We start from the raw sequence: 16,815 nt of genomic DNA on the forward strand, positions 1-16,815 counted from the left end.
TGCAAATACGATGGACTGCTAGAAGGTGGAACATGGAAAACACACATCACTCCCTTCTCCACGGCTGCTGGCATCTCACTGGACTGATATAGGGAAGACTCCTTGCTGGCATGGCAGGGAGTCTCTGTGCTTTGTCCTAACTGTGCCATTTAGCAAAACTCCCTTGTGGTTTCTGCCTGTGGCTCTGGCTGTCCATTTCAGGGGATCCTTCCTTGCCTTCACTTTCCTTGGCCACAGCACACAAGGGAACTTCAGAGGATACAGCCTTTGAACCCGTCCTCTTGGTGAGAGTTTAGGGACATGGGGATTATTTTAGGGGATTAAGAGTCATGGACAGTTGCAAACCAGGTTTAGGGGTGCTTTGGCAGTACTTAACCCTGCAAGAGTCTAGCAAGCTGTGGGTCTGATTGGTTTCAAGTATCAAATGTTATTCAGCTCATCATAACAAAACATCATATCTAGATCTAATCACATAGGTGTCTTTCATTTAGCTTCCGTGCTCTGTGGTATCACCCTCTTTCAAATTTAGGCTAGTTCCTAGTGGGTAATTGAAACAATGGGTTTAGATGAATAGGCAACACCCTTAATCTCAGTGTTGCCAGCAGGCAAACTTTCATCTCCTGCTATGGCTGCCACTTCATAGCCTGCTTCAGTGCGGGGCATAAAACAGTTGGCGCTTTACACTTTATAAGGTTCCAAGTTATGTGACTATAAGCAAACCTACATTGTAACACGTTATATTGCTTTGAAAGCCAAGTTTTGTAAGAGTAGACATTTTTCTTGTTTGTTAATTGATTTATACCAGCTGTTTAGAATAATGCCTGTATAGAGGAAGTGCAGAGTACACGTATGTTGAGTAAATGAATGAGTAAGCAAATGTATAATCCATGTAATTTATTAAAAATGCCACATATTTTTATGGATGCATTAATATGTAGTAATATTACAATATATATGCTGGGATGACAAGTAGCAGCTTTACAAGTGGCTAACCACTACGGAAGATGGAGAAAAAAAATTTGGGGAGATGGAGTTTTAGTTATGTCTATAGCTGTTTATAATTCATTGAAAAATTCATTTTTCACAGCTAATATTTCAATTCATTGAAAATAATGTTTAAAGCAAATATGGAAAATGTGAAAATATTAATATTTATTATGTGTAGATACCAGGTAACTTCACATATCTTTTCCTTTTTCTTTTTTGAGACAGTCCCATTTTAATCTTTTCATAAACAGTATTATTAAGGGTTAAATGACATAACTGTATTTATTTAAAAATGCAGTTTGATAAGCTTTTACATAGGAATACACTTGTTTCCATCATTGCCACAACAAGGATAATGAAGATTTACATTCACTCAAAAGCTTCCTGCGTTCTTTATTCCCCCTTTTTCACATATTTTGTATCAGGTTAAAATAGTTTATTATTTAAAATGTTAAATTAATTTAAAACAACAAAAACAGATTCCATAAATATGTGAAATTAAAGTGCTAGAAACCTACCTCTGCCCCCACTGAATATTTGTAAGTGGAGCTGCTCCAGTTTTATGAAGACCTCGGGTATTATTGAGGCCTCAATACCACATGGAAGTTGCAAAACTATTGTATAATGTTCTTCACTTCCTTTTTATCTATTGCTGCCTGTCTCTCTTTGGGTCATCGCCTTGTCCCTACATATGGAAGATAGCTTGAGAATCATTGCAGACTGAACTTTGCACCCAAGACTACTCTTCCTATTTGGACCCTGACTTGGTTTTCTGGAGTTAACCTTCAAAAAATTCCCATATGTTTTTACTCTTTGAGGTGTTTTAGACATGTATAGTTTCTGTATTTGACACTATGCTCAGTTTTCCCAAAATACACAACCTGAGACGAAAACTTGTAGGCAGGTATGTTATCAGGAGATGGGGAAACATGGAGTCTGGAAGGAGAGACAGTCCAGCCCAGCATACTTTGTTGAACAGCAGGCAATGGGCTCCGTGTTGCTGGGCACCTTAGGCATCAGCCCAGTGGTGTGAAATTCTCCACTCCTGCTATGAGGCTGAAGATGCTCCCCCAGACATCTCATCAATGCACAGTGGAAGCCAAGGAGATCCAGGGTGGAACCAAGAGATACACAGTGTAGGTAAGACCAGGGTCTCTAGGCCTGCAAAGGTGATTATGGCAGCACTGGCCACAGGGAAGGTGACTGCGGAGATAAACATAGTCCAGCATGGATATTCTGCTCCTTTGAGAATGTGATTATATTTTGTTTATTTCATAAACAAACATGGATTGGACACCTAGTAAATAATGATATAATTTTTTATCACCCTCTAGGGACTGGCATGTTATTTTGCCCATTATAGGCAACCGATGTTTATATTATTCTAGTTAACATCATTTCTTATTACATGAATAGCATGTCTAGATAATTTAATCTTTCTAGTGTTTATCAAAATATTAGATGATTGAGTTCAATTAAATTGTAATAATCACTTACCATCAAAAAGGAAGCATATTAGCAATAAGTAAATAGATAAATAAATTGATTATTTGAGAGACCAAAGTAATTACAACCATAAAAATACTAGTAAGAGCAAACACCAATATGAAAATTTGTGCCAAGCACTATCCTAAGATCTTATATCAGTTAAGTCACTTTATACTAATGATAATATTTAAGTTGTCTTAATGTCGCTGTTTTCAAGACGAGCAAACTGAAGTGCAGACTGTTTTGTAACTAGCATCTTATGAAAAAATAAAATGGAGTAATTTATAAGCCTTTACACCATTTTTTCTTTTCTTTTTCTTTAGAGAACAGCAGATACTGGTGCTTAAAAAGTGGACACAGGCTGGATTCATATCCTGACCTTGCCCTAGCTAGGATTCATATCCTGACTAGCTCTGCAATTTTGAATACGTTGTTATTAATTTCTTTAAAAATAGTGTTAAAATTACATGTGAATATAAATAACATATTTTATAATAAAATAGCTACATTGCCCCAAACAAATAATTTGCAAGAAAACTGACATTGTTTTATACGTTTTGCAAATATGCTTAATGTCGGACTTACTTGACGAAAGACAGCTGGAATCATATGAGCTCCTGCTCCTGCCCTGCTTGGAGATGATACATCACTGGTCTGTAGAAAATAATGCCAGTAAACAAATGTGAGAGAACGCCACTAAACAGTCATTATAAAAATGACTCTGAGCTCATGAGCCCCCTGAAAGTATGTCAGGGGTCCTCTGAGAAATCCCCACAACCCACTCTGCTAATGGCTGCTAAAAATGCCAACATTGATAATCAATTGAAACAATTCACTCCAAAGTAAAATTGTCTCATAAAACACTCCTAAGGTATTACCTAGACAAATTCAACAACTGATCGGCTACATTTATCAGTTTTCCAGTGACTTTTATATATATGTATGTATTTACATTTTTATAAAGATTTAATGTAGCCCATCTGATTTTAAAAAACTAATTTAAAAGTTTAGTAATACTTTTGGAAGAAAGAATTCTTTTCATTGGATAGCAAAATACCAAAGCAAGAAAGTTTCCAAATGCTTTCAGAATTCCATAATACTTAGTTAACCAATTAAACAAAAACACTTAGATATTTCTCTAGCCATGGAGCAGACGGAAGGTGGGTGTCAGAATTTTGTGTCTCATAATGCTTGTGCAATAGTTCATTAGGTTCTACATGTGAGAACAAAATAAATGCTTATTAAAGGTCAATTCCTGGGTACAAGCCTCAGGTTCTTTTTCTTTCTTGCTCTTCAGAGAGAACATAAGGAGCCCCATTTGTAAACCTATATTGTATTCCAAGTATTATGTATTCTCTTATGATTTTGCTTACTTTCTGTTTAAATAATATATAAGGTATTCACTTAACTTTTTATATGTATGTTTCTTTCTCTTAAAATGCCTAACAATTCGGAGTAAAGATATTTTTCATACAATCCTACTTAGAGGTGGGGAAATTTTTTTTGGTTGTTATTAGTTGTAGTTAACAGCCCCATCTCTAATTGTCAACCACTATTAATTGAAAAACAGTTAATCTCGCCCTACCATGTTTCATTCAGTCAATATTTCTGAACTCATTTTAGTTCTGAATCATTTAAGCAGAGAGTCTCCTCTTGGTGTTGTTTTGCCTGAATTCTAAAACAAGGAAGTTGTTAATAGCTCTGCCTGCATTCCAGCTTAATTAATCCTCGATAGAACCAATTATACATTAAACCACATTATCTGTACATGAAGAAATCTCAGATTCCCTGTATAGTCTAAATTCCACTTAATGCTTTTCTCATTCTCAACAGTATCCTAAAATCCTATATGCCACAATTCTCTTGGTGATCATACACCGCAATACTGCATTCCTCACACCTGCCCCTCTAAATAAAAAACTGATTGTAAACATTCTTCTCATGCTGTCCTACTGGGACTCAACATTCATGTTCCCATGATTTCCTCAAACATTTTCTCTTCTGTTTTCTCCACCTTTTCAATAATTTGATAAATATTGCTAATTAATTTTGTTAAAATTTGTTTTGTAACATACATCACTTTCCACCTTGCAATATAGTCTCTGTGTAGTTATATTATTGGTTAAAATGTCAGATTTATAACAGAGTTATTTTACTTTTTTGTTTTCTGATTTATTTTGTTCTTTTGCCTAGGAATTAATCAATATTTGTTGACATAAATACCTCACTCAAAATATATATGTCAAAAATAGGCTACAAAATATGCTTTGTTTTGGTGCAGAGTAAATTTTGAGAAAGAAACTATTTTCACTAGATCTGTAAATATTAAAAATATTCATAAGTTATAAAACAATCAGTAATATACCACATAAAGGGTGTTTGCTTCTTTAGAAACCAAACCAAAGTGAATGGAATTAATGTTCAAATGCAAAGCATCCCATAAGCTGTAGTACAAACTGTCCCACATTACATCTGCCGAAGTCCTTCCTGTATCTAATGCTTATATTAATTAATTGCCAATGGTTTTCCACCAAAATAATCCATTTTAAAACCCATAATTTAAAAGATTATTGAAATAATAACAAATTGTGAATATAATTTTGAATCATTTTCAGATACAATACTATTTTGCTCATTTTTGCTTTCTCTGGGAATTATAAACTTTCAACATTCAAATAAGAAGAGTTGGAAAATCGAAACAGACAAATGACTTTAGAATAAATTGAAAACACTAGCAAATAATGACTGCCGATAAAGAAAAAAGATAAAAGATAATTCTACACAGAAATGCTTTTCAACTTTTTTTTTTTTTTAGACAAAGTCTCGCTCTGTCACCCAGGCTGGGGTGCAGTGGCACAATCTTGACTCACTGCAACTTCCACCTCCTGGGTTCAAGTGTTCAAGTGATTCTCCTGCCTCAGCCTCCAGAGTAGCTGGGATTACAGGCACCTGCCACCACATCTGGCTAATTTTTGTATTTTTAGTAGAGACGAGGTTTCACCATGTTGGCCAGGCTGGTCTCAAACTCCTGACCTCAAGTGATTCGCCTGCCTTGTCCTCCCAAATTGCTGGGATTACAGGTGTGAGCCACTGCACCTGGCCAGTACTTTTCAACTTTTAAGGAACAGATAATACCATAAGATTTATTAAATTTGTATGTTAGAAGATACCTTAAAGACATAAGAATTATTCGAAGAATGTAATCATAATAGAATTTTTTTTTTTTTTTTGGGACGGAGTCTCACCCTGTTGTCCAGGCTGGAGTGCAGTGATGCAATCTTGGCTCACTGCAACCTCCGCATCCCAGGTTCAAGAGATTCTACTGCCTCAGCCACCCGATTAGCTGGGACTACAGGCGTGTACCACTGTGCCTGGCTAATTTTTTGTATTTTTAGTAGAGACGGGGTTTCACCGCATTAGCCAGGATGGTCTCGATCTCCTGACCTTGAGATCTGCCCGCCTCGGCCTCCCACAGTACTGGGATTACAGGCGTGAGCCACTGTGCCCGGTCGATAATAGAATTTTTAAGAAATCTTTATAGAAGATTAAAAAAAATTTCTTCTTACAGAAAAAAGCTCTATTTTGATTATTCTATATAATTTATTGAAATGCAATGTGTATATTAAATCTTAGATGTTTCATTAATATGAAACAAGCTGACAGCATTATTCTTAGTAAAAAGCTAGCAGAATTCTAGTCACATTTTAATAAGTGAGTTATTTTTGCTGCTTTTGTTCATAAATAATAATAAACGAGTAATAGATAAAATAATCATCATGTAATTTTCATTTCACAGGCATTATGTTCAGCATTTCTTATGAGTCATTTTTTTTTGAGCCTGCATCATTGTAGCTGCTAGGGATTCATCACTCAAGAAAATGTGGCACATATATACCATGGAATACTATGCAGCCATAAAAAATGATGAGTTCATGTCCTTTGTAGGGACATGGATGAAGCTGGAAACCATCATTCTCAGCAAACTATCGCAAGGACAAAAAACCAAATACTGCATATTCTCACTCATAGGTGGGAATTGAACAACGAGAACACATGGACACAGGAAGGGGAACATCACACACCGGGGCCTGTTGTGAGGTGGGGGGACGGGGGAGGGATAGCATTTGGAGATATACCTAATGTTAAATGATGAGTTACTGGGTGCAGCACACCAACATGGCACATGTATACATATGTAACTAACCTGCACGTTGTGCACATGTACCCTAAAACTTAAAGTATAATAAAAAAATAAAAAAATAAAAAAATCAAAGTAAAAAAATAAAAATAATAAATAAATAAGAGACAAAAATAACTGCCCTGCGGAGTTTCCCACGGGCCCATTAGGGAGTTATTACGTAGTGGCCACATTTTACAGATGAGGAAACAGACTTAAAAAGGCTAATTAATTTTCTCGAAGTTACACAGTAAGTGGCAGAAGTGATTCAAACCTCAGGCTATTTAGTTCCAGGGTCCATTTTCTTATTTATGCCCTTTATTACAGTCCCTCCATTCTTTATAAATTTGTACTGAATTCTGCAAGCAGGGAAAAATAACATGTCGAAACTTTGCAAAGCAGCCCATGAAAGCAGGGATTTGTCTTATTTGATACTGATTTTATTTACTCCCACGGGAGGAAAAGAAAACCCTGTAAAAAGAAGACCCAGGCTTCCCAAGAGACAGGCTGAGAAACACGTTAAAGACAAAACGAAACAGCTGCAGGGCCGTGTTTCCCATGAAAAGACCCCCGCTCTACCAGTTCTTCACTTTAATCTCAAAGAGGACTACCAGCAGGAAAATGCTGTCAGTAATTTACCACATAAACTGTGTATATTTCGTGAAAGCCATAGAAACCAAATCAAAGTGGATGGAATCAGTCTTCAAATGCAAAGCATCCCATAAGCTGTAGGACAGACTGTACCACACCACACTCTCTGAAGTTCTTCCGATGTCTAATGCGTATATTCATTAATTCCCAATGGTTTTCAAAGAAAAATGGAAATTTCTGGATTGGCAAATGTGACGGTACTTTTTAGGTCATAATGAGAAGACTCCCTACTTGGGAGAAAGAATAGTTACCTCCAGCTCCCTGCTCTTTTTTGCTTTCTTAGAATCAGCTTCCAAGCGTGCAGATGCTAATGAAAACTTTGCCTCTGGTTGGGAAGTCTGGGCCGATGATGAGCGGAGGACATTTTCTCCAATGATGCTTATGCTCACCGTGTGCAGTGAACAAGCCTCTCTGTCGGGTTTAGAACTGAAACCACCTCTGGCTCGAGCTAAAGAACTTGGTAGAGTCCAGCCTAGATCACTGAGTTTTTACTCGAAGGCCAGACCATAATAGCAAAGAAGATTATGTATGGCTGAATCTTCTAATCTTATATTGCTCACTTTAGGAACTTTCAGAGGTAGATAGGGGACTCAGGGCAGGGTTCTGGCTTTGCTGGCATCCTCTAGGTAATATCACCATTCCATCAACACATTTATTTATGAAAATAAAAATGAATGATTACATTCAGACATTTGTATAGGTTAGTATTTCATTTGATTTAAGTTGTATATTTCACTCACCTTCTCATGAACTCCAAATTATGCTACTAAACCAATCTTCCCACCTCCATGAGCTCCCCACACTCTCTATCTTCAATTGCTTTATGTTACCTGCAGAATACCTTTCCAAATCCTTAGTCTAATGTTTGAACATTTCAAATATGGTCTTGACCTACCTTTATGTCATCTCCATCTATCATTGTATTCAGCAAAAACGATTTTATTTTTGTTTCTCAACTATATCTATATGTATACCATGCTTCTTTTCCTTTGCTTAAATTGTTATTTTGATTTGGTATATTCAATCATTCCTCTTTTTTCATCTTGTTCTACACATAATCCAAGTGTCAGTTTTACCACGGTCATATTCAAACTAGCCTCATTTTCTGGTTCTTGAAATGTCTTTTATTCATTTGATACTTAATTATAAGTTTTCTTATGTTATTTTAGTGGATATGCATCATAACGCTACATACACTGTGAAATTTGGAGGTTAGGTATGCTATCTTAAATTTACTTATATTCCCTGAATGTTGGATAGTGCTTTGAATATATTAGGCCTCCTTATTTTTTGTTAAAATACATACATATATATACATATATATATATACACACACACACGTGTGTGTGTGTATGTACATTATATGAATACGATTCTGTGAAATACAAATTGCATAGGTGAGGGTTTCTTAAAAATACCTAGCAGTTAATATGACATTTAAACAAAGGAAAATTTCTGGTGGTGCTATCAGTATTTCAAGAAAAGAGGGAATTTCTATTTATTTGAATGATCCAGATAGTCACAGAAAATTCAACTTTCAAAAACCAAAGTGAGTGATCTTTCAGATGAGGTATCAAAAAAATAAATGCCAATCGTCCAGAAGGTGACTGAATTTAAAAGTTTTGGTTGCCAAGCAGAATGTGGTATTTTCACAGAAATCTCACCAAGCGTGTCCTTCATGATGCATGCCACTAATTAGGCATCTGTGCGCACCTTATGGTTGATGAATTAAGAAAAAAAAAAAACCCTCTCTTTCTTACAAAAAATACACCTACAACTTCTAAAGAAAAAATATTTATGTCTGAACGTTTCAAGATAGTCACGGTAATGAATTATCACAGCAATGACTGCTGTTTCTGTGAATTATTGAAGTCCATTGTAATCAGTAATGGTATCTGACGTTTTCTAAATGCCTAATATTGTTCTCAGCATGAGAATGAGTGCCCAAAACTCCCTATCTACAAGAAGGATGCTAGTATTACTCTTAGAAGGTCCCAAAGCTAGTGTTTGACAGAGTTGAGGTTTGAACCAAGGGAATCTGTTCGCAGTTTCTGTTCTTCTATCCACTGTACTATACTATTCACTGTAGGAAGGCAATTTTATTAAACAGAAAATTTATGGCAGAGAGATGAATCTTAGGCTTGAAAAGTAAGGTAACATGAACAATTTCAAGAGTACGTACTAACCTTAGAACTAATAGGACCCAGGCCTGGCGCAGTGGCTCATGCCTGTAACCCCAGCACTTTGGGAGGCAAAAGTGAGTGGATCACCTGAGGTCAGGAGTTCGAGACCAGCCTGGACAACATGGCAAAACCCCGCCTCTACTAAAAATACAAAAGATACCCTGGTGTGGTGGCGTGTGCCTGTAATCCCAGCTAATCCAGAAGCTGAGGCAGGAGAATCACTTGAACCCAGGAGGCAGAGGTTACAGTGAGCCTAGATCACGCCATTTCACTCCAGCTTGGGTGATAAGAACCAAAAACAAAAGAAAAAAAAAAAAAGACCCAGTGAACTGCAAACATGCTAAGTAGGTGACTAATAAAATTTCTGTAAGCAAGACTGTTCTTTATGTGAGCAGTATAATATTTCATGAGAGCAGTGAAACATTTAAAGTTCTTAGGTTTTATTTTATGAAGAGTATATCATAAAGCTTGTAATTTAAGACAAAAAAGATAAAATCAAGTTTATTGCTTCTTAACAAGTACTTATAATGTACAAAACACGGAAGTTAGTGTTTCATGGATTATTTTACCTAATTCTTTCCATGCCTTAAGAGGTAGTTATTACAATGAAGTAATATTACAATGTATTATTTAATTAAATATTAAAATTTAATATTTAATTAAATTTTAATATTTAATTAAATTAATTAAATATTAAAAGTAGTATTACAATGAGGTAAAATTTGATGTAAATTTTATGTTTTAGAAAAACTTTTCATTGAGTTATAGCACATTAGACAATGAAATTATTGTATGCACTCTTAGACACTGATGCATTACATAGTTGCTGAACTAAGCTGATGGAATGCACCCATAGTTTTATGGGTAGTAGTAGTTCACTGTTTCTTACTATCTTAGAATATTGCGTTGTATACATTTACTATAATTTATTAATTCCTTCTAATAGTTATGATAGTTACAAACCATTTAGTTGTAGGCTATTTTGAATAATGCTGCTGTGAAGGACTCTGTACATGTTTTTTAGTGCATGTATATAAGCATTTGGGAGGGCATATACCTAGTAGTGTAATTTCTGACTTATAGGAATATATATATATATATACACAGTCCTGTAACTCTATACACATATATATGCATATATATACATACACATATATGTGTGTGTGTGTGTGTGTGTATCTTCAATTAGTAGAGTTTACAGGAGTAAACAATTTAGTACAGTTACAGGACTGTATCTATACCTATGTCTATATCTATATTCAATTCAGTTGACTTTGACAGCTGGTTTCCAAAGTAACTATATAAACTTGCAATCCCATCATCAGTGTACAGGCCATCCAAATTCTTCACATCCTTCCCAAATGCTTACTATTTTCCATTTTGTTTTCAAGTACTGTGTATTACAAGCACAGTACTCCCTTGTGTTAGAAAGTAATATGTTCAGCTTTTTAATTCTCTTTTGGTTAAGAGGGCAGTAGATAAATGTTCTCTGGTATTCTTGTACACTTAGTTACATTTGTATAAAATTCTGACTGCCAAATGCTCAGACAACAAGTGACAAGGCAGAATTATTTAGAGCATTAAATCTTGAATACATTATTGAATTATGTATAATTTGAATTATAATAATATACATATTGAATTATATATTATTGAATTAGTTAATGTCCTGAAGGCTAGCAGATTGACAGTTGCATATTCGGCATGCTTTGCTTTTTGAATTTTATTTTTCATTGCAGATTTATTTCACAATACACAATAAATTTTGTAAACAAACCTCAAATTTATGAATAAAGAACCATTTCAAAAATTAAAAAAGGTAAGTAATATATTTAGCTTTTTGATTCAGATGTTGACGGATGGATTCTTTGAAAAGTGAGGGTTCCATTAAGATTGTACTGGAGACTCTGATTTGGCAACATTTGGCGGGACCCACAGATAAACAAGGACATTCATCAGGTCCTTTGTTCCCCAAATTCAAAAGTCCTGTCAATCTATTGCCAGGAATGTCTCTCAAGAACAATCTGACCTCTGACTAATCTCATTGAGTCCTAGTTGTTGAATTTATTTTGCTTTCTAAGAATATGTTGATTATACTTTTTGGTCCAAATGTGCACGGTCTGGTAAAGATGATTATTAACCTGTTTAGCCGTCTGCTGCTCTCTTGGTTCTCAAAGTAAGTTTGTCTATTTATATCATCTCATCTTACATGGTCTTGTTTTCTTCCTGAAACTCTTGTGTCTGTTGGCATGTATAAACCGAAAAGACACATGATTTATGTGTTTATTATGTGCTATTCATGATAGCAGAGACATGGAATCAACTCAGGTGCCCATCAGTGGAGGACTGACTGGATAAGGAAAATGTTTTGCGTATACACCTTGGAATACTATGCAGCCATAAAAAAAGAATGAAATCATGTCCTTTACGGCAATGTGAATGGAGCTGGAGGCCATAATCCTAAATGAATTAACACAGGAACAGAAAACTAAATACTACGTGTTCTCACTTATAAGTGGGAGCTGAACATTGAGCACACATGGACATAAATATGGGAACAGTAGACACTGTGGACTACTAGAGGGTGGAGGGAGAAAACAGGGTTTGGTGAAAAACTCCCAATCAGGTACTATGTTCGCTATCTGGGTGATGGAATTCATACCCAAAACCTCAGCATCCTGGAATATTGCCATGTAACAAAACAGCATATCTACTCCCATACCTAAAATAAAAGTTGAAATTTTTTAAAAAATACAACAACAAAAAAGTATTCTATGAGAAACAAATGACAGCATAGGCCCAATAAATCTCCTATCCAAGCGAACTCCAATAACTAATGGTTATGAGTCCATGTGAGGCAATCAAATTATGCATTGGTAATTGGTTAGATGTTGGGTTGGGTTCCTTTTGAAATCTATGTTTTTTTTTTCTTTTTTCTTTGTTGCCTTTACAATTTTCTCTTTACCATTAGTTTTCAACATTTTAAATATAATGCACTTTAACACTACCCAGGTTTCCCTGAACTTATCTGTGGTTTTCTACTTTTTGTTATACTTAAAAATTACCACACATTATATCTTCACATATTTCCTTATCCATCTTCTTTCTCATCTCCTTCTAGAGTTTCAATTTATACCTATGTTTAATTATTTAATATTATTTTACAATTTGTGAATACTCTGCCTTTTTTCTTCTTTATTCTCTGTTTTCTGGCTTGGGTAATTTCTTTAAGGTTTATCTTCAAGTTTACTAATCCTTTCCTTAGCTGTGTCTAGTCTGATGTTATTAGGAACATCATTAGTTGTGTCCAGCAAATGTTTCAAAAACTTTCCTTATCTCTTTTACCACATGACTTTTTTCACTTCTAGATTATCAGTGTCACTCATTTCATAATTTTAGTGCTACTGCTGAAATCTGTTAATGCATGTTGTCCAATTCTCCACTAAAGCTTTTAACATACTTTCATATTTATTTTAAATCTCTCTCTGTTTCCAAGACCTGAGTCATCACTCAGTCTAATTTATTGATTCTTGTCTCACTGCACGGTGGATGTTTTTGTTTGGTATGGATTTTCTTCTTCCCAGAGTAACACTGCATAATTGACCTGATTCAAGGCTGAGTGACAATTTGGGTAATTTTAGCCTAACTTCAAATTACCTCTCTATCAAAGGTGTACCCCAACAAAGTTTTCAAGTCAGAGCCTGTTGTGATCAATATTGTCTCCACCCCAGCAGAGTCTTGCACTCCCGTGTTTTCCTCCTTCCAGCAATGAGACTGATGAGTAGTTCTCTTTATATTTCAGGAGTTTTCAGCAAAGCTCTTTAGGCTGTCACCCCAGACTCAGGATTCAGTAAATGTCTAGAAAGGAAAATTGACCATGTTTTTGAGGCCATTCTTGCAAATGCCCTATGGGTTTCTCTTTCCTCCAGCAGCAGTTTTCTTCCTAAAAGATGACTGTAATGACAGTCTCTTACCCATGCCCAGAACTGTCAAATACGCCCAAGAACAAATCAACTGCAAAATGTTTGCTTAATCCATTGGGTTCTCTCTTCTCTGAATTTTTAGCTACTCTTGTTCTTGTTATTTGACCACTCTCTGATGCCTTTAATGAAATCATTTTTGCCTTTTACTTATCAAAGTTTTCAAGTTTTTGTCACCAAGAACATTGGTCTGGCATAAACTACCCAATCCTCTCTTGATACAGAAATCCATAATGCTATTTTGAAATAGGGTGACATTAATGGTCTCATTTATACGAGAAAATCGTACTAATCATAATATGATCCCCCAGATTTTGAAGCCTTAACAATGTTATATAATTTACAATGTGGTTTACCTTCCTTGGAAGTTGTAATTTTTGTTAATGTTTTTGCCATAAAATTGTGCTTTTACAAGTACGAGTCAAAAATTTTTGGACCAGCTGCTTATTTGCATAGTATCTAGTTAGGATTTTGGTTTTTATTATCGCTGTTAGTATTTAAATTGTTTTAATTTATATAAGATGCCATCTAAATGTTTTGTTCAGTTTATAGTTCTAGTGTTAAAATTTACACTTCAAAATTGGAACAGAAGTTGTATTAATAAATTACAACAAGATGGTGGAACAATCTTCATACTCTTTTCTGTTGTTTTATAAGAGAGAATTTAAAGAAGTATATTAGATATAACGTCAAAAATAGAAGACAGTATTAAAGTAAGACATGCATCATGTTTATCAATGTATGCATTCTGTTAATTTTCTTATTTCCAACACTCTGTGCCTCCTGAAAGATCAGTGTAGAGCTACATGAATTTCGAATTACATACTATATAAATATGTACTATGGAAGAAAATTAAATAACTTGGTAAAATACCAGCCAACAAATGATAGACTCCAAAATACTTTTAATCATGCTGTACCAGCTTTCTAGGCATCTTCATAGTTGTGTTCCCTTCACGTACTCAACAGAAATTTACTGAGCATCTACAGTATTCCAGAAGCCATTTTGTATCTAGGGATGCAAAGACAACTAGGACACACCTCCTGCCTTCATTGAGCCAGGAGGCTATTAGAGAAATTTGAGCGTAATAAGATGTGAAGATGTGATAGTGCTCAAAAAAAATTAAATAAAACAGGAGATAATTGGATTTTTTTCCAGAAATTATTTTTTGGGACTTGGAAATCAATCAACATTGCTGCAGAGGTGGAAACTGTTACATTATAAAATGATTTAAACTGTTTAAAAGATTAAACATGATTACTCATTTTTTAGCATTAAAACAAATTACCTTTCAGAAAAATATTCTATTTTATTTTTATCATACCAAACCCAGTCCCTTTACATTTAACTCATCAACACCTTGGCATGAGCTCTCACGGAGTGTACTTCATTAATCCCTCACCCTTTCAATTTGATCATTCTTCTTTCTCTTCCAGGAAGGAATTTTATACTTCATCGATCTGAAAAATAGCTACTTATCTTTTAATACTCAGTCTAAAGGTCATTTCCAGGATGATTTTAACTCCATCCCACACAATGGACAATGCAACAGGATTGACTTCACTGTTTTAGCATATCTACCACTTTATTGCACTAAATTGTTTTCTGCTTTTTCCTCAGTGAGTGTGAAAACTCAATGAGAGAAGGGGAATATCTCCTTCATTTCTGTACTTCTCAGCACATAAAAAGAGTATTTTTTAAAATAAAGTATTTTAGTCCTAGATGTATGTCCTAGAGTTTTCTACCTTTCTCTAGGTTTATTATATCAATAATAAATTGTGTGTGACATAAGACCTGTATAGAAATGTTTACAGTGACATTGTTTATATGGCTGGAATGGAGCCACTGTAATTTATGGGGAGGGGAGCATAGATACATTTTGGTAGAATCATACAGCAGAATGCTGTGCATCACTGAGAAGGAATGTATTGAGGCTAAATGCATCAACAAGTATGACTATAACACCCATAACGCCAAAAGCAAGCTACAGAAAATAATCACCATGCAGTGCCATGTCTCTAAAGTACAAATTACAAAATTTTATATAGTTTTATGGGTTTCTACATAGTGAGTGAAAGCATAATATGTTTGGGAATGATGAATACCAGTGGCAGGGTTGTGGTTACTTCTGGATGTGTTGGGGCAGGTGAATGTCATCTAGGAGGACAAACCAAAGGCTTCAGCTGGCAGGGAGTGCTCAGGAATTCATTACTCTACTTTTTATAACTTTACAAATGTTTTTCATGAATACCTAATGTAACAGTTACTTTTATATGTCAACAGGACTAAGTAATGCCCAGATAATGGATAAAACAGCCAGGCACGGTGGCTCACGCCTGTAATCCCAGCACTTTGGGAGGCCGAGACGGGTGGATCACCTGAGGTCGGGAGTTCAAGACCAGCCTGACCAACATGGAGAAACCCTGTCTCTACTAAAAATACAAAATTAGCCAGAGTGGTGGCGCATGCCTGTAATCCCAGCTACTCGGGAGGCTGATGCAGGAGAATCGCTTGAACCCGGGAGGCAGAGGTTGCGGTGAGCCGAGATCATGCCACTGCACTCCAGCCTGGGCAAAAAGAGCAAAACTCCATCTCAAAACAACAACAACAACAACAACAACAACAACAACAACAACAACAACATTGTTTCCAGGCACGTCTGTGAAGACATTTTCCAGGGAGAGTAGCACTTGAAATAGTAGACTGAATTAGGAAGTTCTGCCCTCACCAATGCAGGTAGGCATCATCTAATCCATTGAGGGATCAGACAGAACAAAAAGGTGAAAGAAGGGCAAATTCACTCTCTCTATCTTCTTGACCTGGGATGTACATCTTCTCCTGCCAAGGGACGCTGGTGCACCTGGTCCTGGGGCCTTCAGACTTGGACCAGAGTTGACACCATTGGCTCTTCCGGTTCTTAGGCCATCAGTTTTAGACTAGAGCTACATCACCAGCTTTCCTGCGCCCTCAGCTTTCAAACAACAGATCATGAGACTTCTCAACCTCCATATTTACATGAGTCAATCTCTAATAATAAATCTTTCTCTCTCTATTGATATATCAAAAGATAGAAAGATAGAAATATATATATATATATCTTTCTATTGTGTATGAGTTCTTAAGTGTTCATACACAATACGCAGATTCCTTGGGATCTTCTATTTAGATAATCACAGCATCTGCAAATATGAACAGTATTATTTATTTTTTGTTGTTGTTGCCTGATCTGTAAGACTTTTATTTTCTTCTCTAGCCAGAATTTCCAATGTTTCCAACATTTTTGAATAAAAATAGTAAAAAATCCTTCAGTTTTCCCAATAGATCGATCTATCATCCATCTATCTATCT

General features: G+C 35.5%; 1 annotated feature.

Annotated features, from left to right (window-relative positions):
• Positions 16,257-16,425: a silencer, noted in NCBI's record as "fragment chr18:70761987-70762155 (GRCh37/hg19 assembly coordinates)". NCBI's record gives its function as "represses an EF-1alpha promoter that drives an FKBP-Casp9 reporter gene in an ReSE screen in K562 erythroleukemia cells {active_cell/tissue: K562}" and the evidence as "EXISTENCE:reporter gene assay evidence [ECO:0000049][PMID:32094911]".

This window comes from Homo sapiens, chromosome 18 (assembly GCF_000001405.40).
Source record: "Homo sapiens chromosome 18, GRCh38.p14 Primary Assembly".
Taxonomy (NCBI): Eukaryota; Metazoa; Chordata; class Mammalia; order Primates; family Hominidae; genus Homo; species Homo sapiens.